Source organism: Homo sapiens, chromosome 6 (genome assembly GCF_000001405.40).
Source record: "Homo sapiens chromosome 6, GRCh38.p14 Primary Assembly".
In the NCBI taxonomy this organism is placed as follows: Eukaryota; Metazoa; Chordata; class Mammalia; order Primates; family Hominidae; genus Homo; species Homo sapiens.
Window position 1 is genome coordinate 87797790 of NC_000006.12, and position 24592 is coordinate 87822381.

General features: G+C 40.3%; 1 long non-coding RNA gene across 1 annotated transcript in view, besides 2 other annotated features; it reads left to right on the forward strand.

Moving 5' to 3' along the window:
• The window catches only part of LOC101928911 (uncharacterized), a 126872-nt gene that overhangs the window by 12930 nt on the left and 89350 nt on the right, over window positions 1-24592 (forward strand). The window lies entirely within an intron of this gene.
• Window positions 935-1436: an enhancer, noted in NCBI's record as "NANOG hESC enhancer chr6:88508442-88508943 (GRCh37/hg19 assembly coordinates)". NCBI's record gives its function as "activates a minimal SCP1, AML or CMV promoter by ChIP-STARR-seq in primed H9 embryonic stem cells {active_cell/tissue: H9 hESC(primed)}" and the evidence as "EXISTENCE:reporter gene assay evidence [ECO:0000049][PMID:30033119]".
• Window positions 2075-2144: an enhancer, noted in NCBI's record as "active region_24810". NCBI's record gives its function as "activates an Ori minimal core promoter by ATAC-STARR-seq in GM12878 lymphoblastoid cells {active_cell/tissue: GM12878}" and the evidence as "EXISTENCE:reporter gene assay evidence [ECO:0000049][PMID:35858748]".

Below are 24592 nucleotides of genomic sequence, written 5' to 3' on the forward strand. Positions count from 1 at the left end.
TTGCCCAGGGTCATGTTAACATTTTGTGAAATATCCTACAACACATTTAAATATGTATTTATGCTTTCTATAATTAAAAATGGACCACATGAGAAATGTTTTCAATAATATTTGGTGAAAATATTTGCATCTCCATATAGCTCTGCTGCAAGGTATTTGGTAAGATCCAAATATCTGGGTGTGCTACTAGAAACCATTTTTATAAATAATGTTGAAATGAACAGGTTTGTGTATAGATCTTGAAGTACCCAGCTGATAACTTCCTTGAGATCAAAAGGAAATTCGTGGATCAACCAGCGTGCATTTTTATAAGACATTTAATTCACATTGCCAACTTGCTGTATGAGCCCATTTATATAAATTTCAAAACACTCAAGGCTAAATTACAGTGTTTCTAGGTGAATAGTTAGGTTACAAAAGTAATGGAAATGATGTACCAATTCACCCTCCCACTAGAATTGTACAAGAATGCCTCTTTTCCTACATCTTTGCTAACATTGGGTATCATTAATTTTTTTTCACAGAAAGTCTTTTAGTTTCTTCTGAAGGAGTGAAGCCCTTGTCCTCCCTGATTTTAATGTAATTGTTTCTTTGCTTCTCTTTTATGCTTTTGCTGCCTAACTATTCACCCTAGAAACATTATAATTTAGTCTTGCATGTTTTTAAATTTATATAAATGAGATTATGTAGCATTTATTATTTTACTCCTGGCTTCTTTCATCCATTATTATGCCTGTTAAATACATCTATGTGGTCACATGGAGCTGTGTCATGTCCATTTTCATGGATATATATTATTCCATTGTTAGAACACCCAGCAATGTATTCATTCTATTGTTGCTGGACATTTTAGCTGTTTCTAGCTTTTGACTCCTATCAAGAATGCTGCTGAGAACCTTCTTATACAGGTTTCCTGTGCACAAGCTTTTTTTAAAAGGACAGCTGTGATTCCACTTTATGTCACTGGGAACTGGAGCCTTTTGGTAACAATGAGATGCAGGGATCTAACTGTGTATTCAGGATGCTGCTCTAGCCCATTTCCTGCTTGCCACGGGGTATGTGGATGGGGCTGGAGGTCATTCTTATTAAAATTCTTCCTAAAAATCAAGGCAGAAAGAAGCAAGAACTTTCTGGGCAAGATAAAGGGGACAACTTGAAAGGGTACTGAACTGGAGATCAAAGAGCCCTTCATGCTGCTGGCTTTTGATGTTAGCATTAACTGCACACACTGTGGTCATTAATTAACTTGTGTTCAGAGCTTGCTGCATTCCCCCACCTACTGTCTCCTAATCAGCAACCCTCCACTCAAGGCCAACATCATCATTATCAAGTTCTGGGACTTGATGTGAGGGTGCCTTTGGCTGCTGTGGGCACTCGGTGCTGCTGGAACAGCCCTGGGGAAGAGCTTTGAAGCACACTTACAGAGGCTGTAAAATCTGAGAAAGTTGGGACCAGAAGTCCTGCCTGCTGGATCATGACAGGCAGACTCCATGGCTTTTACAGGCTTGTTGGAGAAAGTGGAGTTTCGATGAAACATAAGTGGTGCTTGTTTTCATTCCATGTAGCTAGTAAGCAGGGCATGTTCAGGGAAGAATCCCGTTCTTCTACTCATACTCCCTTTTGTCTTCCTCGGCTCCATGCCTCTTGTTTTAGAAATTAATTTATCTATGTAGCTCTGAGGAATAGAAATTAATTTGTTTTAGAAATTAATTTATCTATGTAGCTCTGAGGAATAGATATACATATCCCTCTAATGAGCCTTTGACAGAGGTGCCAATACAGCCCTAAAGGCAACAAGGGAAAACAGAGGACTGAGAAGTGGGAAAAGGAAACATGGAGAAAATGGGTGTCTACAGGTAACACTAATCTATGGTGATAGAGGCGAGATGAGTGGCATCAAATGGGAAGGGACACAAGGGAACGTTTTGGGGGAGTCAGAATATTTTAAATCTTGATCTCGGTGGTGGTTATGCGCATAAATTCATCAAGTGCACACTTAGATCTTTGCACTTTACTAAATGTAAGTTATACATAAAAAATGAAGTCTGCCAGGGAGTTTCGCTTTCACTGGCCATCTGTGCTTTACCATCAACTTCCTCCTTTATACTACAGGTGTTATATATATTCCATATACACATGATTTAAACCCCTCAATTATGATGCTATAATTTTTACTTTCAACAGTGATACGTATTTTAGAGAAAAATAATAAATATTGTTTTTTATATTTACCCATCTAGTTACCATTTGTAAAGAATGTTTTGGGAAATCCAAATTTCCATCTGCTATCATTTCCTGTTAGCCTGAAAAACTTTCTTAAGCATTTCTTGTGGTGCAGACAGCAAACATTGTTAGTTTTCATTTATAAGAAAACGTCTTTATTCTGCCTTCAGTCTTGAAGGATATTTTTACTAGATATAGAATCCTAGCTCTAGGTTTTACCATTTTTCCTTTTGCACCTTAAAAATATTTTACTCTTGGCCGGACACAGTGGCTCACACCTGTAATTCTAGCACTTTGGGAGGCAGAGGCGGGCAGATCACCTGAGGTCAGGTGTTTGAGACCAGCCTGGCCAACACGGTGAAATCCTGTCTCTACTAAAAATACAAAATTAGCTGGGCGTGGTGGTGTGTGCCTGTAATCCCAGCTATTCAGGAGGCTGAGGCAGGAGAATCACTTGAACCTGGGAGGTGGAGGTTGCAGTGAGCCGAGATCAAGCCATTGCACCCCAGGCTGGGTGACAAGAGCGAAACTCTGTCTCAAAAAAAAAAAAATTTTTTTTTTACTCTCTTCTGGCTTCTTTTTTTTTTTTTTCCTAATGAGAAATCAGCTATCATCTGTATTGTTTTCCTGTATATAATGAGTGCTTTACTCTGATGCTTCCAAGATTTTTTTTTTTGTCTTTGGGTTTCAACAGTTTGGGTAAGATGTACATAGGTATAGTTTTCTTTGTATTTATCCTGCTTGGGGTTTACTGAATCTTTAAATGTATGTCCTTTAGCAAGTTTGGTAATCTTCCTCTCATTATTTCTTCAGAAATTTTTTGTGTCCCATTCCTTCTCTTTTCTCTTCCTCTGGGACTATAATTACGTGTATGTTATACATGTTATTCTTTGCTTTCTCACAAGTCCTGGAGGCTCTCCTCTTTTTCAATTTTTTTTCTGTTTTTATTTATATTTTTAATTTATTTCTGAGACAGAGTTTCATTCTTGTTGCCCAGGCTGGAGTCTAGTGGCACAATCTCGGCTGACTGCAACCTCCGCCTCCCGGGTTCAAGCGATTCTCCTGTCTCAGCCTCCAGAGTAGCTGGAATTACAGGCACTCACCACCATGCCCGGCTAATTTTGTATTTTTAGCAGAGACGGGGTTTCACCATGTTGGCCAGGCTGGTCTTGAACTCCTGACCACAGGTGATCTGCCCGCCTCGGCCTCCCAAAGTGTTGGGATTACAGGCATGAGCCACCACCCCCAGACTTTTCTGTTTTTAGATTGGGTAATTCTTTTGATCTATCTTCACATTTACTGACCCTTTCCTTTGTCATTTCCAATTCATTGTTAAGCCCATCAGTGAGTTTTTAAAATTGCAGATATTATATTTTGTAATTCTAGTATTTTCATTTGGTTCTTTTCTATTTCTCTGTTGTGATTTTCTTTCTGCTCATTTGTTATGAGTATATTTCCTTTATATATTTGAGCGTAATTATAATGGCTGTTTTAAAACTTTTGTTTCTTAATTCCAACATATAAATCATCTTAGGAGTCTCCATTGATTGTCATTTTTCTTGTATATGAGTCATATTTTCCCATTTTTTCTTATGTCTTGTAATTTTGGATCATGTTGTGCATATTGTGAATGATATAGAGACTCTGCATTCTCTTATGTTACTCTAAAGAGTATTGATTTTGTGTTTTAGCAGGCAATTAACCTAGTTGATTTCAGTTTCTAAATTCTTTTCCTCTGTGGTGTGGCAACTGAAATCTGTTTAGTTCTTTTAGCTCGAGCTAGATTTCTTGGTATCTATCCAACATATGTATATTTTAGAGGCTGGCCAGAGATTTGGGCAGAGTTTATATGTAGAATTTGAGTCTCCCTTCTGCGGCTATTTCCTTTCCACTATTTCTCCTTTCACTTCTCTGCTGTTATTGCTTTGAATTTTGTCTTCCGATTTCTTAGCTAGCAAGGTTTCTGTGCAAGTTTTAGCCACCTTTTGGTGGGACCAATTGGGAGTACTCTCAGACAAAGAAATAGAAAAAATTGGCAAATATCCAGTGGGTTTTTTGTTTGTTTGTTGGTTTGTTTTTTGTTTTTGTTTTTTTTTTCAGACAGAGTCTCACCCTGTTGCCCAGGCTGGAAGCACAGTGGCATGATCATAGCTCTATGTAATCTTCAACTCCTGGGCTCAAGTGATCCTCCTGCCTCAGCCTCCCAAGTAGCTAGGACTACAGGTACATGCCACCATGCCTGGATAATATTTTTATTTTTATATATTTTTTGGAGAGATGGGGTCTTTCTACGTTTCCCAGGCTGGTCTCAAAATTCTGACCTCAAGCCATCCTAGTGTCTTGGCCTTCCAATGCACTGGGGTTATAAGCACATTGAGCCTGGCCATCCTTCTCTAAATATTGACCACCTCTAGTTTTGCCTGCTTTTAGACACTCTCAAATGGCTTCAGATTTGTGTGTGTGTGTGTGTGTGTGTGTGTGTGTGTGTGTTTTCCAGGGTTTATAATTGTTACTTTGGGAGGATTGGTGTAATATGAGCTACTCTGCCATTTCTAGAAATGGAAACTTATCATCTAATCTTGTCCAGTGATCTTACGGCTTGCTTTTTAAATTTGTTTTGTTAAAATAATATGGTAAAGCCACTGATAAGAAATACATCAGGAGTACTTCTAGTGTTCAAAAAATAGTTCATAGTAATGATAACATAATTATTTTAAAATCATGATTGTAAAAAATGTGTTCTAGTTACAAGGATCTACGGATAATGTTTCTTTGCAAATTGGATAGTTTCTACAGACAAGAAGCTTAAAAATAACTAAAACATTTTAATAAACTTTTTCTAGTTATTTTTTCTATTTCCACAGAAAAATGAAAACTCTTCTTATTTTGCCCATTTCTAAACTTCATCCTCCAGAATCCTCCTTATATTAATTTGTTCAAAGTGTGGGTGCTGAAGTAGATTATAAAGTTTGTAGAAACTGTGGCAAAAGAGTAGAGTTGAGTGGAAAAAATAGAGAATTTTCATTACTTTATGACATGATCTTGGAAGGATTCTCCTTGTCTTTATTTTTGGTGCAGACCAGAAATAAAATGTTTAAGAATTTTTAAAAAATCCCATTCTCTCTTTCTCCACATTATACAACACCATCCTGTAGAAACTGTAATGTTTCTTGTGGTCAATTTATCATTCCATTTGATTGATTAGTATTTAGGTCCTCATGGAACACTAGGGTTAGTGCTATCGTTGGGAAGCAGGGAAAGAAGATGCTGAAATACTTCATGGTTCTGCTCAGTAATGAATCCTGATGTGCTAAGGGTCCCCAACTTTTTCTGTATTTTAAAATATATAAAATGAGCAGAGTCCTGGTGTTTTAACTGTGGCCAAACTTGCTTGGGTGACAAAGATTTGTGGCCAACTCTAGACCTATATCCTGCCAAATCACTGACCCAGGAGAAGCTACAAGTTGTGGACTTCCCATTGTGAAAATCATCTAACAAAAATGTGAATCTTTTGCCTTTATGAAAAAGATAAAAATCATAAATAAACATTTTATTATTTGAGCTACACATGAACGTTTTAATTGGCTTATCAGTGTGTACTTTGTTAGGCTGCTGATTACAATTTTTTTCAAAATGTTGTTCTGATTTATATAATTTTGGATTGATGTTTTGTTGCATTCTCTCAGTAAAGTTAAGCAAAGGTACTGGATTTTAGTTGTTTATTTTAAATATTTTAGAGTCGTGAGGAATTTAAATATTTCCTATGAAGCTTATGGGAAAGAGCTTTAGAGTGAGAAATAACTGAAGAAAAAAATAGTCTTCAAATTGAGTGATCACAACTTGCCAAATACCTGGGTTATTTCCTGGCTCTTTATCATGGCTTGTTAGGACTCAGACGCTTGATCAAGCTTTGGCAGGATATAGAGGCAGTAGGATCTGTGTAAAACTTACTGTGGCCACATAAGATGATGTCTTCTCTTTCCGCCTTCTCACTTACGCAAACATATTGCCTCTTATAAAAGACTTGTTATATGTGGCCACCCAGCATGTGCTTTAAGGAAATGCTTTTTGGTTTCATTTTATAAGAATATACTGGCATTGGATAAAGAAAATTAAATAGCTTATGTATTTTGTATTCTCAGCAAAATATATGAAATGAGGGTAAAGATAGTCATAGGTAAGCCAGAGAGCAGTGGTCAGGGTTCCATTTTCTCGAATACTTCTTATTTTATGTGAGAATTGATGGGACCTCCAGGGCTACACAAGAAATTTTAATCCATGTCTTGATGATTTCCTCATTTTCTGTCAATTTGGAACAGACAAAGATGAAATTTAATAGCATAGAACTGGATTTATTAGTAACCAATTAGAAAGCTTTTTTTTTTTTTTTTTTTTTTACCAAAAGGGAAATTTCACTTAAGGCTTCAAGAAACAAATCTTTAAGGAACAAAATAAAAGTTTGGGAATGGGCCAAGTGCGATGGCTCACGCCTGTAATCCCAGCACTTTGGGAGACCAAGGCGGGCGAATCACCTGAGGTCAGGCATTCGAGACCAGCCTGGCCAACATATAGTGAAACCCCATCTCTACTAAAAAATACAAAAAGAGCTGGGCGTGGTGGCTCACACCTGTAGTCTCAGCTACTTGGGAAGCTGAGGCAGGAGAATCACCTGAACCTGGGAGGTGGAGGTTGCAGTGAACTGAGATCGCACCACTGAACTCTAGTCTGGGTGACAGAGCAAGACTCCGTCTCTCAAAAAAAAAAAAAAAAGTTTGGGAATAGATCTAATATTATTATAATTAGGTCCAAATATATTTTAATTTTTCCAGCCAGACACATTTAAAGGCATTCTCCATAACCTCTCAGTGAGACCAATCACTTTCTAAACCACCACATGGACTCAGGGTAACCTGAGATTTCCTTCTCAAGCTGCACCCAGAACACTTGTGTGCCCAGTAACTGTCTTAGTGGCGTAGTTACTTAGCACATTTTCCTGTGGGGTAGGGACACTTAGGATACAAAACATAAGTCATTACTTGTAGGACTAATTCTTCAAGCGTAAGAAAAGATTCATCTTTAGTGGCTGTGAGCACAGATATGCTAAGTAACAAAAAATAAAAACAGCTGACATTTTGAACACTCACTATATCAGGCATTATGCTAAGCATTTTATTATAGTGTTCCATGAAACCCTCATACCCCGTGAGTAAGTATCATTATTATGCCTATTGAAAAATGGGGACGCTGACACTGATGCTTAAAGGACTTGCCTGAGGTCATGTAGCTAATTTGTGGAGGAGCCAAGTATTCATTTCAGATCTATCCTTCTGCAAAGCTTTTCAATAACTACTATATACTATTTATCAATCCAATTTATCAAATTCAATTGATTCATAGATTAATCAGATTAATCAAAATAATATGATTAATGTAGCAAGCTAAACTGGTTGAGTTAGTTAATATGGAGGCAGAAAGAAGTTACTCCTATAAAATCAAGATGCTTTGTTTAAGTATTTTCTTACATGCTGATGGTAGGCAATTTTTAATGTAACAGTTCTCAAAATGTGTTCTGGAGACCCTTGGAGGAAAACTCTTTTAGGTTCATTTTTAGGTTCATGTGTGGACAAACCTATTTTCTTCTTCTTCTTTTTTTTTTTTTTTTTTTTTTTTTTTTTTGAGACAGAGTCTCGCTCTGCTGCCCAGGCTGGAGTGCAGTGGTGTGATCTCAGCTCACTGCAATCTTCGCCTCCTGGGTTCAAGTGATTCTCCTGCCTCAGCCTCCCTGGGATCACGGGCATGCGCCACCACACCTGACTAATTTTTGTATTTTTAGTAGAGATGGGGGTTTCGCCATGTTGCTCAGGCTGGTCTCAAACTCCTGACCTCAGGTGATCCGCCTGCCTTGGACTCCCAAAGTGCTGGAATTACAGGTGTGAGCCACTGCCCATCCTATAACTTCATTTTGAAAGATACATTTCTCAGTGGGAGGTAGCTGTGGAATCTCTGTACACATTTTCCTGGTATGGGAGACACATTTTGGATGACAATGCTTCTCATAGTGACAGACCTTGGTGGACATGTTTGGCCCTGTCACCGTTGGTTGGAGCAGAGTAAACCTAAAGTGAGCCAATTAGATTCTCATGCCCAGGAATTTGATGCTAGGATTCAGTGATGGCTAGTAGCTCTTTACAGCTGGAACTGAAATGGTGAAAACCCAAGCAGTGGGAGAGCATTCACAGAAAGATGGTGTGAAAAGAGAAGAAAGAAGCAGATGCACTGAGAGAAACAAGGAAGAACAGAGAGGGAACACTGTCTGGGTTCCCAGGGGCTTTCCAGGTCATTTTCTCAAGCTTGGCTGCCTTCATGGGTTTTGTGAATTACCACTGTGATTTTAGAATAAGTTCCTCCTTCCAAATAAGCTAGCTCAAGTTGATTTTTATTGTCAACCAAACAGATATTAACTGAGACACTCAGTTTCTGAAAAGCTGAAATTCTCATGGAGGCAGGGCATGTTTCTCTTGTTCAAAGGTGCAATTGAAAATATCTTAGAAAAAAATTGAAAATAATTTGTTAAAAGAGAAGGAACAGGGATATTAATAAAGAGATAGATCAAGTCATCCCTAATTGAAATTTTAACATTCTTTAGAGATATCACTGGGTTCAGAAGGATAAGCAAAACCTGGTAGGTGGGCAATCTGCCAATGGAACATAGGAGAGTCTGTCTTTTATTGCCTTATCTAATTACGTAGAGTCACTGCTTTGTTGCATTGGAGTGTGGGTGTGTGAATGCACATCATACACAGATCTTCTGGCCTAACCACTTCATTTTAGTATCATAATTTTAGTTTTTACTGAACTCTACACGGCTGTCCACATCCATCATGTTCACAGCTATATCCCCAAGGACTTTGAGCAATGTCTGGAACAGTGTGGACACTCAGTAAATATTTGCTGAACAAATAAATGATTGTTTTAAATAATCGTGGAAGAGGTTGACGAGATCAAATATTGTGTGAGTTAAAATCTTATTAAAGTTTTATTTTGATTTGTCTTTATAAAGTTCAAATTTGAAATACAATTTTCACTGAGATATAACAATTTTTTTCTCTCATCGGCAGCTCTTTCCTAGCAAGTTTCGCTCTCTCCTCCCTCTCTCTTACCCACCATCTGAAGTCTTGTTGCTGGAAGCAGTATCACCTCCTTCCTTGTCTCAGACTAATTCTTACAGAGTTTTCTCCTTTTTTTAATTCCTGGGTTCCATGTAGTTTCCTAGTGATAAGATGCCATCATTGCTTACATGCAGAGTAGCGGAAAATTAAGACAGAAAGGACGATTGAAACCAGATCATGGAGAAATTTCAGGTCCTCGTTGAAGAGTTTGGGCTTTATTTGGTGAACATTAGAATGCCCAGAAGAGTATTATAAGTTCTTCCTCTCTATGAGCTCTTCTTGTCTGGAGAAATGCAGCTTTCGGGAAGATTAATAAGGTTTCAGTGTGCAGAATGGATTGGAAACCAAGAACCAGTGGCCAAGGAGGTGGACCGATACAGACACTGAATAGCTTCTTCTGACTATGACTGTTGTAAAGGGTTGCTGGCGATTCTTCATGTATCTTTAGAGTACAGAAAAAGAGGAAGTATTATGCTTCTCTCAAGACCCCTGTGGGCTGAGCATTGTGTAGGCAAGAAACGTAAGTGGGACCTAGGAGCTTATGTAATTATAGAGTTTCTGTGTTGGTGAGGGCTTCATGCCTTCATGCTATCATTGCTGTTATTCCATCATGCTGGAATGCCATCATCCTCATTCTCCCCCACCTGAAATCCTTCTTATTCTTCAGGTTCTTTTCCTCACAGTCACCTTCCCTAATCTGCTAATTCAAATTAAGGTCCTCATCCTCTGGTCTGCCACAGAAATAATTTCTCCAATAGGCCCTTACTCTGCTATGCCTTATATTATGTCTATCTCCCACTAGAAAGTGGGTTCCAAAAGAGAAGGAACCATGGTGGACCCAACTTTGTGTGCCCCACAGTGCCCCACAGATCCATGGCTTTGCCCTTAGATGAGAATGAATTTTGTGTAGCATGTACTATGAGACATGTTTCTGAAATGAAGGCAGAGTTTTGCCTATGTTCTTGGTAGCTGAGAAACCATTAGATGAAGTATTTCATTTATGCACAGTGGTCACAACATTGCAAAAATGTAAATTATTGCAGTTAAAGGTGTGAAATCATGTACTCTGTGTTCAACACCTACCAGTTTCCAACCTACTGGGCAGCCTTCAATGACTTGCATGGCTATTCTCTTTTCTGAATGTTAACTAGACACCAAGATTATAGGGTCAACGTTTAAGTGAGTGCTTCAGAGCCGTATCCCATCTATTCAAGCTCCCTGCTTCTTGGGAGATAAAATGACATGTAATTTCATTGTGTGGGACTAGCGTGGTTTACAGTAAATGGTGTGCATGATTTGGAAAGGTTCATTAGTCAGATCTAACGACTTGACTACTCCCTTCAAAGTATGACTGATTAAGACTCATTCAGGGAAATGAATTGGTACACAGGAATGGGTTCATGACTCAGATGGTATAAATGCCTTTTACAAGTTTTTAGCAGAGGAAAGGGAGCAACAGAGGTAATGACTCTGGACTTGGGTTTACATAGTCTTTCATGTAAGTATTGTGCCTTAAAGCACTTTGTTCCTCCAACACAATCACCTGCCGCTTAAATACACCTGCCCCTTCTGGGTGGAGTGGAAATGAATGCAGACTCTAATATGAGGTTGGCTACACAGCCGAAGCCCGTTACTATACTCATTTTCCTCTTGGATTCAGAGATCCTAACTCTTTTTTTTTGTTTTTGATGGAGTTTCACTCTTGTTGCCCAGGCTGGAGTGCAATGGCGTGATCTCGGCTCACCACAACCTCTGCCTCCTGGGTTCAAGCGATTCTCCTGCATCAGCCTTCTAAGTAGCTGAGATTACAAGTACACACCACCATGCCCGGCTAATTTTTGTATTTTGTATTTTTAGTAGAGACAGGTTTCACCATGTTGGCCAGGCTGGTCTTGAACTCCTGACCTCAGGTGATCCGCCCTCCTCGGCCTCCAAAAGTGCTGGGATTACAGGCGTGAGCTACCGCACCTGGCCTGATCCTAACTCTTTTATATAAGGTGAGGAAAATGGCATTGTGCAACACTATACAACTGTTTTTGAACTCGTTTCCCAGGGCTTGAGAAATCTAAAACAGAAAAGACTCTTAAATTGCAAGGCTAAGACTGTGGAACACCCTGATAATTGGAGGCAGAGACTAGAGTTCAAAATTTCCTCCTATCTCAAGGGAAGGGAGAGGAGGGGGAGGTCTACTTTCTGTTTCTCCTGCCTGCTGTGGGAGGACTGGGCCTCTTCCTTTGTTCTCAAATCTGGGTTGTTTGGGGAAGCAGGCTATATATAATCCCAGAAAATCCCACTGTGGACTGTTTTTTGGAAGCAGTTAATGTCTGGTGCTCTCAACTATCTCACTATCATAAACACGATGGTTGTGGGCAGTTAGGTCATCTGTGGGAACAGAATAGGAGGTTGAGGGAACAGGTGTTGACCCTATCTCTGCAACTTGGCAAAGGTGGTGGTGCCTTATAGTGAGAAGACCCTCGACATTCACTTGGTTCATTTCAGCCCAAACACCATTTTGTCCTCAGTTTAACAGAACAAATGGAACAACTGCTACTGCTTTTGGAGAGCCATTACTGCCGGGATCCTGATTTAAAGTATATGCAAATGATTTTTCCCCTCTAGCTAGCTTTATTAAGGTAAAATTTACAAGTAAAAATTGTATGTTTAAGGTGTACAATGTGATGATTTGATATATGCATACATTGTGAAACGATCACCACAATCAAGCTAATTAACAACACCTCACACAATTGCTGTTTTGCTGTGTGTGAAGAGAATGCTTAAGATCTACTCAGAAAATTTTAAGTATACCATACAGTATTATTAATTCTAGTCATCATGTCTTACATTAAATCTACATAACTTATTCATCTTATAAATGAAAGTTTGTAGTCTTTGATATGGTCAAATTATTTATTCCAGAGTGCTGTAAATAATTTATGGAAGATATTAACAAATATGGTCATCATCGTATTCTAAGCATTATTAGTTCATCTATTCATGCGTGTATTCATTCAAGAATTTTTCTTTTTTTGAGACGGAGTCTTGCTCTGTCACCCAGGCTGGAGTGCAGTGGCACCATCTCGGCTCACTGCAAGCTCTGCCTCCCGGGTTCACGCCATTCTCCTGCCTCAGCCTCTGGAGTAGCTGGGACTACAGTCGCCTGCCACCAGGCCTGGCTAATTTTTTTGTATTTTTAGTAGAGACGGGGTTTCACTGTGTTAGCCAGGATGGTCTCGATCTCCTGACCTCGTGATCCGCCGCCTCGGCCTCCCAAAGCGCTGGGATTACAGGCGTGAGCCACCACGCCCGGCCTCAAGAAGTATTTTTTAAGGACCTACTGTGTGCCCAACACTCTTCTAGGTGTTGGGGATACAGTAAAGAACACATAAGGACTTAGCCCATATGAACCTTGAAGTGTACAGATTAGAAATTAAAGGCAGATGAATGGTAGTCTAGTCTGACTTATTTTACAAATGGGGAATCTGAGCCCTCTCTTCCTTTGGGAATTGTAATTGTGGATAAGAAACAGTAAGGTGGGCAGCATGTAGGTGGCATGGGGAACTCAGTCAGTAACAAAGTACAAGAAGGAGTCAAACTGAAGAATCTTTTCCTTTAGACTGAGTAAAGTTTAGAATAAATAGGAAGCATCTCCTCTTACCTGTATTGCCACCAAGTCCTTTTTCACAGCAGAAAGGGGCAAATTGTATGTTGATGTTAATACTAATGCTCGAATTATATATATATATATATGGTTTATTTGTTTTTGAGCCCAGGCTGTAGTGCAGTGGTGTGATTTCGGCTCACTGCAACCTCCGCCTCCCAGGTTCAAGCGATTGTCTTGCCTTAGCCTCCCAATAGCTGAGATTACAGGCACACGCCCCCATGCCTAGCTAATTTTTGTATTTTTAGTAGAGATGGGGTTTCACCATGTTGGCTAGGCTGGTCTAGAACTCCTGATCTCAGGTGATCTGCCCACCTTGGTCTTCAAAAGTGCTTGGATTACAGGCTTGAGCCACCATGCCTGGCCTCACATGATATTTGAATAGCATCTATTAAGTTGTTATTAGAAATATAGCTAAGTACTTTTATTTATATTATTTTATTTAATCTGCAACCATGCTATGGAATTATAATCCTCATTTTACAGATGAGGCACTGAGTCTGAGACTTTAAATAATTTGGCAAATAAATTATGAAGTCATGCCTTGGAGGCAGGGTTTCTGATGCCAAGCCCTGTGCTGTTGGCATCCTGCGGTACAATACTCCTACTACCCAGGCATTGATCAATTTATTGTCTTGACATTTTTTCAGGGCATGGCACTTTGACAGGTGCTATAACAACACATATCTCAAAAAACAGAACTTGCCTTCCAATAACCTGAGAATTGCAATAGAGTGTGATAAATGCCATGGTGTAGGTATGCCCAGGGTGTACGGGGCTCAGAGGAGGCTCATTGCCTTGATTCAGAGGTAGTCAGAGAAAACTTCCTGAAGGAAGTGATGCCTGAAGCAGTTGAGACAGAACAGGGACCCCTCTTAGGGGCCTGTGGGCCCCTAAGCATGGAAATAGGGGAAAATCTTGAGTTCCTTCAAGGAAAATTTCAGGCACTTAGCTAGTCCTAAGAAGTAAATGAGCAACTTGATAACCAAGAAGGTAATGGTAGCTTAAAACAATAGACAAGAAAGTTAGAATCACAGTTGTTTTGTCCCTTATAGAAACTGAAGATAACATCTTAACATATGTCCCTGAGTTGTTTTTCAGAAACCCAGATCCCCACCCAATGGATCCACTGGCATGGAGACCTCAGATAAGGGAGGACTGAGGACTCAACCCTGACTGCTGTTAGTTCTTTGTTCTAAATTTCTTCTTGAGGTACCTGGAGGAGATCATGCCTCCCAGCCAGAACTAATATTCCTTCCTACTGATCCCAGATTTTCTGACAAACCTTCGTCTCCTGAACCAACTGCAAATCTGAAAACCTTTGAATCCACGTTATGACCTGTGTGCTGCCCCACTTCAAGGTAACCTGCCATTTTAGGTCAAACCAAAGTATAGCCTTCATATATTGATTTATGACTTTGCTCGTCACTTCCACCTCTCTGCCTTTAAAAACGCTTACTTGAATGCCATTGGGGAATTGAGGTCTTAAAGCATTAGCTGCCTGATTCTCCTTGCTTGGTGCCCTGCAGTAAATGCCTCATTTTCTCTCATTGCAACCCTGATGTCAGTATCTGGCTTTGCCGCACTGGGCAAGTGGATCCCAGTTTGGTTCCACAACACAGTTGCCAAGTAAGAAGTAGCCAGGTAAAGAAAGGGGGATGCAGGATGGCACAGGCAGAGAGACTAGTATGGGCAAAGGCATAGGGTTTTCAGCAACTACTGTGCAATTAGGGAACTGTGAGTAGCACAGAGAGTGGGAAGCCCAGGGCATGAAGAAGATCGATGCAGAATCGATTTTCAGTGAGTGGACTGTTGGAGACCATGCATTCAAATTAGTTTGATGGCCAAAAAGATTTTCTTCTACAGAAAGATTTTTTTTCATGGCAACACAGCTGCCCTCAAGTCAGAGTTTAGGATTGCTCATTTTTTGGCTCCTCTGAAGAATGTGTCTGAGAGCGTATGGTTATAAGATTCCCCAGAAGGGTCAGATTCATCAACAATCAATTGTTGCCAGAGCCTCAATATCTTCTGGGGGCTTTTCTGATCTTCTTTTGGAAAGTTTTGCTTTGGAGTTGCAAGAAAGAAAACTGAACCCTCTGTGTAGTGGCAGTAAGCTGATTTCTAGCAGAAAGTTTATGATCAGTGACTTGTTGACACGTATGTCTTGAAAGCAACATTTGTTTGTTTGATGTTTTCTATTATTCGCCATGGCCTATTCCTTTAGGACTCACGATGTCCAAAACGTATTCTAAAATATGCATGACTGAGCTTTTCAAACCTTCTAAAGCAGTGGGGGATGCTGAATCTTTGCATCCACCCAGGTGAATAAACCAGACTGTAGAAGCTGACTTTGCTGCATCTGAAAAATGCATTCAGACTTAACCCCAGCAGTGGAAGCTCACTGTAACCTCAAACTCCTGGGCTCAAGCAATCCTCCTGCCTCAGCCACCCGAGTAGCACTTCCAGAGCTTCTCAGGAAGGTGGAAGGAAGACTAAAATGACTTCAGGGTCATCCACTCATTTCCTTTTATGACCATAGAGCCACTTGCCTGATAAGTCTTCATAGAAAATAGCCTATCGAACAGATGCAGGAGGTAAATCATCTTAACTGGTCCTAGTCATATAGGAGGGGAGTAGCTGTTTTTGTTATGTCTTTTTTCTTATATTTTTGATACTTGCATTGGGTGACTATGGGGACTACATATATAGGCAAATGTACTCTGCATTTTGGTTATGTTTCTTCCACATAGTTGCATAATTCTAGAAGTATTCCTTTAAACACTTATTGCCTGGATTATCTCAACTGAAAGATGAGGATAATATAATGGAGTCATTTTACAGGATTAATTTTAAGAGGTCAAACAAAAGTCATTCTTTAGGTGAGGGACATTCTCGGGTTGGAGCAGCTTTGCTGTTAGTTCTGCCCTCTTTTATTACTAAGATGCTGTTTCCTCTATCTTCTTGTCCTTAAAACATTTATTCAATATATCAGCGAGGATTAAGTGAGCCTGCATATGACATAAACCCCCCATATGACAGAATATTAAATCAGACAGGATTTAATTTATCTGTCATGTAAGTGAAGTGTCAAAGTAGGCATTGAGGATCCACAGGCATCCGGAACACAGGCGTCTTCTATCTTTCTATCCCACTCTTCTAGTCCATGATTTTCATTCTCAAGATCACCTTAGAATCCAGGATGGCTGCTGGGGGACTGGGCATCACATCTGTGATGCAGGCCAGAAACAAGAGGAAAGACAGAAGGGCAAAAAAGGATTCTACCCTACTGAGACAATTCCCACAAAGCAGGATTCCCAGATGTCCCAAATGATTCTTCCACTTTGTTTCACTGGGCAGAACTTAGACATGTGACCATGCTCAGCAGCTAGAGGTCCTGGGAATGTGGCTTTTAGCTGTCTATTTTGCCATCCCAAAAATAATACTAAGGAGGGAGGGGAAAAATGTATGCATGGATAGGGAACTAGCATTCTTTACTGTAGTCTATTCCTTTGATACCCAGACACTGATGTACACCATTTTTCCTACACACTCACTCTAGACAAACCTACAAGGAAATGGGAAATTTAGAATTGAATACATACTGGGTTAGATTTTGAGGGCAATAACAATTATTATTACTATTATTATTATTTTTTGAGACAGAATTTTGTTCTTTTTGCCCAGGCTGGAGTGCAGTGGCACGATCTTGGCTCACTGCAACCTCCGCCTCCCAGGTTCAAGTGATTTTCCTGCCTCAGCTTCCTGAGTAGCTGGGATTACGGGTGCCCGCCACCACACCTGGCTAAGTTTTGCATTTTTAGTAGAGATGGGGTTTCACCATGTTGGTCAGGCTGGTCTTGAACTCCTGACCTCAGGTGATCTGCCTGCCTTGTCAGTTATTATTAAAATATGAGATATTGATAGTTCTTGTTACCTGTGGTAAAAGAGTTACTTAAATTATCACCTGTGTTAATCTTTGTGAGTAAGTGGCTATTCATTGCAAGAAATAATTATGGAGGGAACATGATGAATATAAGACCTGTGGGTTTGGCTTACTTCTTCAAAGTGCCCTGGAGAATGTAAGGAAAGAAAGTAACAGGCCAGGTGCAGTGGCTCACGCCTGTAATCCCAGCACTTTGGGAGGCTGAGGCAGGTGGATCATGAGGTCAGGAGATCAAGGCCATCCTGGCTAACACAGTGAAACCCCATCTCTACTAAAAATATAAAAAATTAGCCAGGCGTGGTGGTGGGCGCCTGCAGTCCCAGCTACTCGGGAGGCTGAGGCAGGAGAATGGCATGAACCTGGGAGGTGGAGCTTGCAGTGAGCCGAGATTGCGCCACTGCACTCCAGCCTGGGCAACAGAGCAAGACTCCGTCTCAAAAGAAAAAAAAAAAAAGAAAGTAACAGGCTCAAGCTTTAAATTCTCAGCTCAGTAGATGACAACAATACCAAGAAATTTCTAATATTATCCTAGAAGAATTTAAAAAATCTTTTATAGTAAAGGATTTATGTAGCTGAAAATCATATCTGGAGTCTAATCCTGTGAGTTGCTGAATTAAAATATAGGTTGAATTCAGTCTTGCCAGGTCTCTCAAGTAAAGATAAAGGCACTGATAGGGAAGAGTAGGACCCTTAGGATTAGAATGTGGACAATTGGGATGAGCTGATGACTGAGAACCCCAAACTCATAAACTTTACTTTTGGTACCAATTACTGTATTGTTCAAGATTCTTAGTTGTAGGCAACAGAATACACATTGGCTAATAGGGCATGACCTGGAAGTTGCACTACTTATGCTCACATCCCATTTGCCATTACCTAGTCACATGATCACACCTAGTTGCTAGGGATTGTGGGAAACGTGGTCTTTAACTAGATAGCTGTATACACAGATAAAACTTTTATTACTATAGAAAGAGTGAATGAATACTGGGGAGACAATCAATGGTGTTTCTGTTAACTAAGTTGAGGAATGCAAGAAGAGAAATGAGTTAAGTTGGGAGGCTGTGAGGAGGAAGAAAATAAGTTTGGCTTGGGAAGTGTTAAGTTAAAATGCTTGTGGGACATCTAGTATGAGATGTTCAGTAAGATGGTTAGGGAAAAGGAATCTTGCCTAGAGAGAGTTTAGAATAAGCAAAGAAGGCCAATGTTTGAGACTGAAGTGGAGGAAGAGGAGTCTCTGGAAGAAACCAGGAAAGAGCAGAGAAGTTGGAGGAGACTTAGGAGAAGGCAGTGTCTCAGAAGTCTCTTGAGTTCTTAATGAAGCTTAACGAAGTAGACTGTTATTAATTAATTAATTAATTAGTTTATATTTTTGAGATGGAGTTTCACTCTTGTTGACCAGGCTGGAGTACAATGGTGCAATCTTGGCTCACTGCAACCTCTGCCTCCTGGGTTCAAGTGATTCTCCTGCCTCAGCCTCCTGAGTAGCTGGGGTTACAGGCATGTGCTACAATGCCTGGCTAATTTTGTATTTTTAATAGAGACGGGGCTTCACCACATTGGTCAGGCTGGTCTTGAACTCCTGACCTCAGGTGATCTGTCCACCTTGGCCTCCCAAAGTGCTGGGATTATAGGTGTGAGCCACCATGCCAGCCCGATACTGTTATAAAGAATGACATGCTGCCAAGAGGACAAGTGGGAGACTGAGAAGAGGTCATTTGATTTGTACATTGTTTATTCAGAGGAGTGGTGGGGAGCTGAAGACAAATTATAGTGTGCTTAGTTGTGGATAGGAGGTGAAGTGGGGCTGTGAAGGGTAGAGAGGTAGCCAAAATACGGCAGCAGGTCAGTTGAAAGAAAGCTTATTTTGGGCACAGAAACTCTTGATCATGTCTGTAGGCAGATGGCATAGATCTAAGGTAGGAGAGATTAAAATTCAGAGAAGAGAGGGGAAACTATGGCTGTGATATTTGTGGTGTGGATGGGGTGATATAAAGACACAGTGGGATGGGTCATTAAGAGGAGTAGGGCTGCCTCTTCGGGACAAGAAGGAAGATAACAATTGGTAAAGGAGATGTAGATATGTTAAAAACTTGCAAAGAAATTCTACAAGTCTTTCAAGTAATTTCTACTATGACTTGAATTGTGGAGCTTGGTGCTATGCATTTTCAATGTTTATTAAGCACTCAGATATACATGGAGACCTGGGTTTAAGCAGCTCAATTCCCCAGCACAAGCTCCAGCTTTGAGCTAAGTATGATCTTCTGTTTTGAAGCTCTGAAAGATGGATATTTATAAAAGGAGAAGCGAGGGACATCTCAGAACAAATTCCAGTATGTACAAAAGGGCAGAAGCAGCAGCAATGAGTGTTTTTCAGGAGGCATCTTGGTTTATCATACCATAGCAGCTGGCCCTCAAAGGGCTTCGAGTGCCAGGGACTCACTGACCCTGAGACACAGTAAGGAAAAAATGGAGACCCTCCCAACAAATAATCTCAGCAATAGATTAAATTTGTAAAATGGAACTTAAAAATTTTCTGGTGTGGATGGTAAAATAATTATTGGAGGCCATCAGAGAGTTTCTATGACTCACTGTTTAATGATTTCCAGTAGGATCACAAAGGATTTAAAAGTAAGCTTGAAGCTATTGAGAACAAATAGTGTGCCAAGAATATCAGAGTGGTTTGGGTTTTGGACTCTATGAAAACTGTATTGTTAATTTAGAAAAAAATAAACCCACACTGGATTCCTAAGGCTCTGGAAGTCTGTTATTTTCCTAATGTTGTCTTGTCTCAGCAAGATATTTGACATTCAGAAAAATGCTAAGCAGAGAGAGATAGCTGTCTAAAATCTTGTTGACCAGATCATTTCAGAAGAGTTTTGCAGAGTTGAGAAGCAAAAACTTGAGGAGATTTGGGTGAATTGCTGAGTAGACAGCAGTGAGAAAAGCAGAGTAAGGTGTAAGGAAAGGAACAGGAATGGCGGCCCTTTCCCCAAACCCCTGATGCATAGTTGTTTTTTTTTTTTTCAAAAAGGGCCATAATTATTTCCCTCTCTAAATCCATGACCCTTTGCAATGTAGCTGCAGCTACTCCCATGCAAAGATGATGTCTATTTCCTTGACCCCTGAATTTGGCTGAACTTGTGACATGCATTGGCCAATAGAATGCTAGGGAGGTGAACTAAGCCACTTTTGAGCTTAGTCTTCAAGGGGCCTTATGTACTTTTGCTCTTCCTCTTGGAACCATGAGAGGCATTCAAGAACAAGTCTAGGCTAGCCTGCAGGATGATGATGGGTCAGATATCCCTGTAGCCTCTGTTGACCACCTTAGCCTCAGAAATAGAGCCACCTAGCTAGGAAGCAGCATGACGGTAAACCAGTGGAGTCCAACCCAAATTGCTGACCAATCCACAGAACTATGAACTAAATAAATGGCTGTTGTTTTAAGCCACTAGGATTTGGAGTAGTGATTACATACTGAAAGCTAACTAATACACAACTTTGGGCTTGGTAATGTGATGAAGTAGGGGAAGAGTACGGAAGATGAGAGATGGAACTTGGGAAAACATGCCATCATGAATTGTGCTCTGATATAAACATGGAAGCAAAATTAAAATTGACTGCAGCACTGCAGAGCAATTCCTGTAACTGTGTGTCTCCAGGCTTCTCCCTCCTCCACCTTCTTGTATCAGTACACTGTCTTCCTCCAGCACACATAATGAACCGTATATTGTTCAATCAATCTGTCTTTTCAGATGTGTCCCTGTTTGGGTTTGTCTCAGAGATAGTAAAAAAGAAAAAAAAGAAAGAAAGACAAAAGGCTTCTGTTTCAAGCATTCTTTTTTTCTGGATGGTTTTTTGAAGTTTGTGGTCAAATTATAACTTGGTAAGAAGCTGGTGGCTCAGCAGCCTAGGCGGTGGTAGGTACTTTTAATTATTCATCAGTATTTATTTGGGAAATTTTGTTTCTTTTTTTCTAGTCTTTTAGCAGAGACTCAATTTATGCCACTCAAATCATTCCAAGGCAATTCATGATTCTTTGAAAGAAACAGGCTTTCTCTTACCCGTTTTTCTGCTCAGCATGTTTTATAAAAATTATTGAGACACTTTTGTTAGCTTAAGGTCCATCTCCCACCCTTTATTAACCAGGAGCTTTGCAGGAGACAGTGCTAATGTGAAGTGTTTTTCAACTATCCCATCAAACAAGGGTTCTGAAGGCTCCTCCCAAGAATGGGGCTCCCTGCTCCTCTTGATATCCTTATGAGAGGCCATTGTGGGAAACAGAAGCTCTGTGGAGCCTTTCATCCCATGAGTTAAGATGGGAGGCTGTGAGGAGGAAGAAAATAGGTTTGGCTTGGGAAGTGTTAAGTTAAAATGTTTGTGGGACATCTAGTATGACATGTTCGGTAAGATGGATAGGGAAAAGGAATCTTGCCTAGGGAGAGTTTAGAATAAGCAAAGAAGCCCAACGTTTGAGGATGAAGTTGGGGAAGAGGAGGCCTCAAAGCCCCAACAAAGCCCAGGCAGTCAGAGTGCAGCACTGGCATTTTCAAAGCACTCTGCCATCATTAATTGGTTAAGTTATAACAGGGCTTTGGGAATTAGATAAGTCTTTGCCCCACTTTTTCTCATTTGAAGATGTTTGTTCAGATAGATGGAGGGGGAATATCTGCCTCTCAGAAAGAGCTTTTGTGGCAGACGTGGCAAGCTATGGGTTTCCCAGTCAGACAGCCTGGGGTGGAGTCCTGGCTGCTCCTCATCGGGGATTTAACACTGGGCAAGTTACTCAGCCTCTCTGAGATGCAGATTTCTGATGTGTAAGTGGGGACTTATGCACTTTAGAGAGTTATGTGAGATTTTAAAAATGAGATTATAGGTGTATGTAAAGATGCCTAGTACACGATATACTGTATACATAACTAATGGCAACTACTGTCATTGTGAAGAATAATGCAAGGGGCTTGGATCTTCTGTTAAGATACATCATAGTTTTCTGTATTACTTAGGCAAAACCAATTTGAACCCTAGTCCTAGAGAGCTCACATTGCTGCCCCTCTTCCTGTCTCCCAATCCCATCCACAGTTCTGATGGGATAATTATTTTACCATCCACACCAGAAAATTTTTAAGTTCCATTTAACAAATTTAATGATCCCCTCCCATTTCTGACTTCTTTGCTTCGGGTAGGCGGTTTCTTCTCTCTCACCCTTGCCAAGGAACCCTTTCTCTATTCCTGATTCAGGTAATCCATTATCATGGCCTCCATTGGTTTTCTTGGTTTCCACTTCACTGTGGACAGGCCTAACTTTTAGAACTCAAAAAGTGAAGAAATCCTCTCTTCCTGGCCACTCTTTTTTTTCTTTTTCTTTGAGACAGGGTTTCACTGTCACCCAGGCTGGAGTACAGTGGAGGGATCTTGGCTTACTGCAACCTCCGCCTCCCAGGCTCAAGGGAACCTCCCACTTCAGCCTCCTGAGTAGTTGGGATTACAGGTGAATGCTACCATGTACGGCTAATTTTTGTATTTTTTGTAGAGGTAGGGTTTCATCATGTAACCCAGGCTGCTTGAACTCCTGGGCTTAAGCTATCCACCAGCCTCGGCCTCCCGAAGTGCTGGGATTAGAGGCATGAGCCACTGCTTGCAGCCCTGAAAATCATTCTTACTGCTATGAGCACATAACTTGCCTTACTGACATTGACAAGTTGTGCAAGCCTTCCCAATCTTTCCTACAGTGTGGCATGCCGAGAAAATGATAACATTTGTAGACAAACTTGGGTAACAGATGAGGTTACTTACGGATAGCGCTCTGTCCAGCTGCCCTGAGGACTGAACATTGTCCAGGGCACATTTCTAAGGTGGGCTGGGTGTTGTTGACCATGAGTAGCTTCATTCAATAGATTTTTATTCATCACTGTGCTAGCCCTAGTTATATAATGGTGGACAGAACTCATTTCCTGCCCCCCAGGAGCTGTATTCCCTTAGTACACATGTTAACAGAAATGTCGAGGTGGCAAAATATAGTAGAAAGAAATTGGTCTTTGTGGAATCTGTCAGTTTTGGGTTCAATTCTGGTTCACCCATTTGCTAGCTAATGTGAACTCGAGCAAATTACTGAACTTCTCTGATTTTTAGTTTCTTTTTCTTTTTCTTTTCTTTTCTTTTTTTTCTTTCTTTCTTTCTTTTTTTTTTTTTTTTTTTTTGAGACAGAGTCTTTCTCTGTTTCTCTGTTGCCCAGGCTGGAGTGCAGTGGCTCGATCTTAGCTCACTGCAACCTCCGCCTCCCGGATTCAAGCAATTCTCCTCCCTCAGCCTCCCAAGTAGCTGGGACTATAGACGCAAGCCACCATGCCTGGCTAATTTTTGTATTTTTAGTAGAGACGGGGTTTCACCATATTAGCCAGGCTGGTCTTGAACTCCTGACCTTAAGTGATCTGCCCGCCTTGGCCTCCCGAAGTGCTGGGATTACAGGCGTGAGCTACCGTGCTCGGCCAAATTTCTTATTTAGTAAAATGGAGGCTATAAATCTTCCTGCAGGCTTGAAGGTAGGGAAGAGGAGGAGTTTAATGAGAAATGTTAATTTTGATCCCTATTTATAAATAGGAGGATTTATCTGCAAATGACCAGTTGAGTTCTTTCCAAAAATTCCTGAACACATTCTGAAGGCCTAGGACAATTTTCATCTTGACTGTATTAGAATATAAATGGTATATCACCCCTGACTCCAATTCAGAGAAATATTTGTGATTACCTACCAGAATTATAGATTTCCTCATTCATTTATTAATACAAATAATTACTGCATCCTCATTATATGTCAAGATGGTGTGCTCAGCTTTGAGAGTGTCGTAGTTTGTGTTATAGTAGGGTCTCCATGGACCAGCTCATTAGCTGGACAACAAAGAACTGGAACTCAGCTGTTCAATTTTCTTACCTTGTGCTTTCTCCAAGTCATGCCGTGATGCTATTCATCACAGGAGATAAAAGGATAAATAAGGTACACCCGTGCGCTTCTGCAAACTGAGAACCTGACTAAATTAAGGTATTTAAGCAACTTTACTTTGATGAATTAAGTCAGCAGCACTAACTTCTCTAGTATTAGGGAGGGGTTTTTTTTTTTTTTTACATATCTCAAGTTAAAATTAATAATATTATGAATTTAGAATTACCCTAAATATTTCCCTGAATTTTAAAATAAATAATCTGACTTCCAGTTGCAAATGGCCAGATTATCTCTCCCAGGGCTTGGTATTCTTACTGTCCATCTGTTTCTCTGTCTCTCTGCACACACAGACATAAACACAGACACACATGAGCTAGTGCTAAAGGTCATATCCAAAATATTTGCAGTGAGAAGAGGAAAAATAGATGAAATACATGTGTTTTGTTTTTTTAGCCTACTATCTTGAAGGCCAGTTCTTTAAGAGAAGTCCATTGGCTTGCTTAGTCAGAGAATTCCTAAAGTTTTGTAGTTTGCTCAAGATCTATGTTAAACAAATCCTCTTTCTCTTCTGTTCAAGGCAGAGATTTTATTTACAATAACAATTTGCCTGAAGTCAGATAGAACTAATGGAAGCATAAGCAAGCTTTTAACTTGCA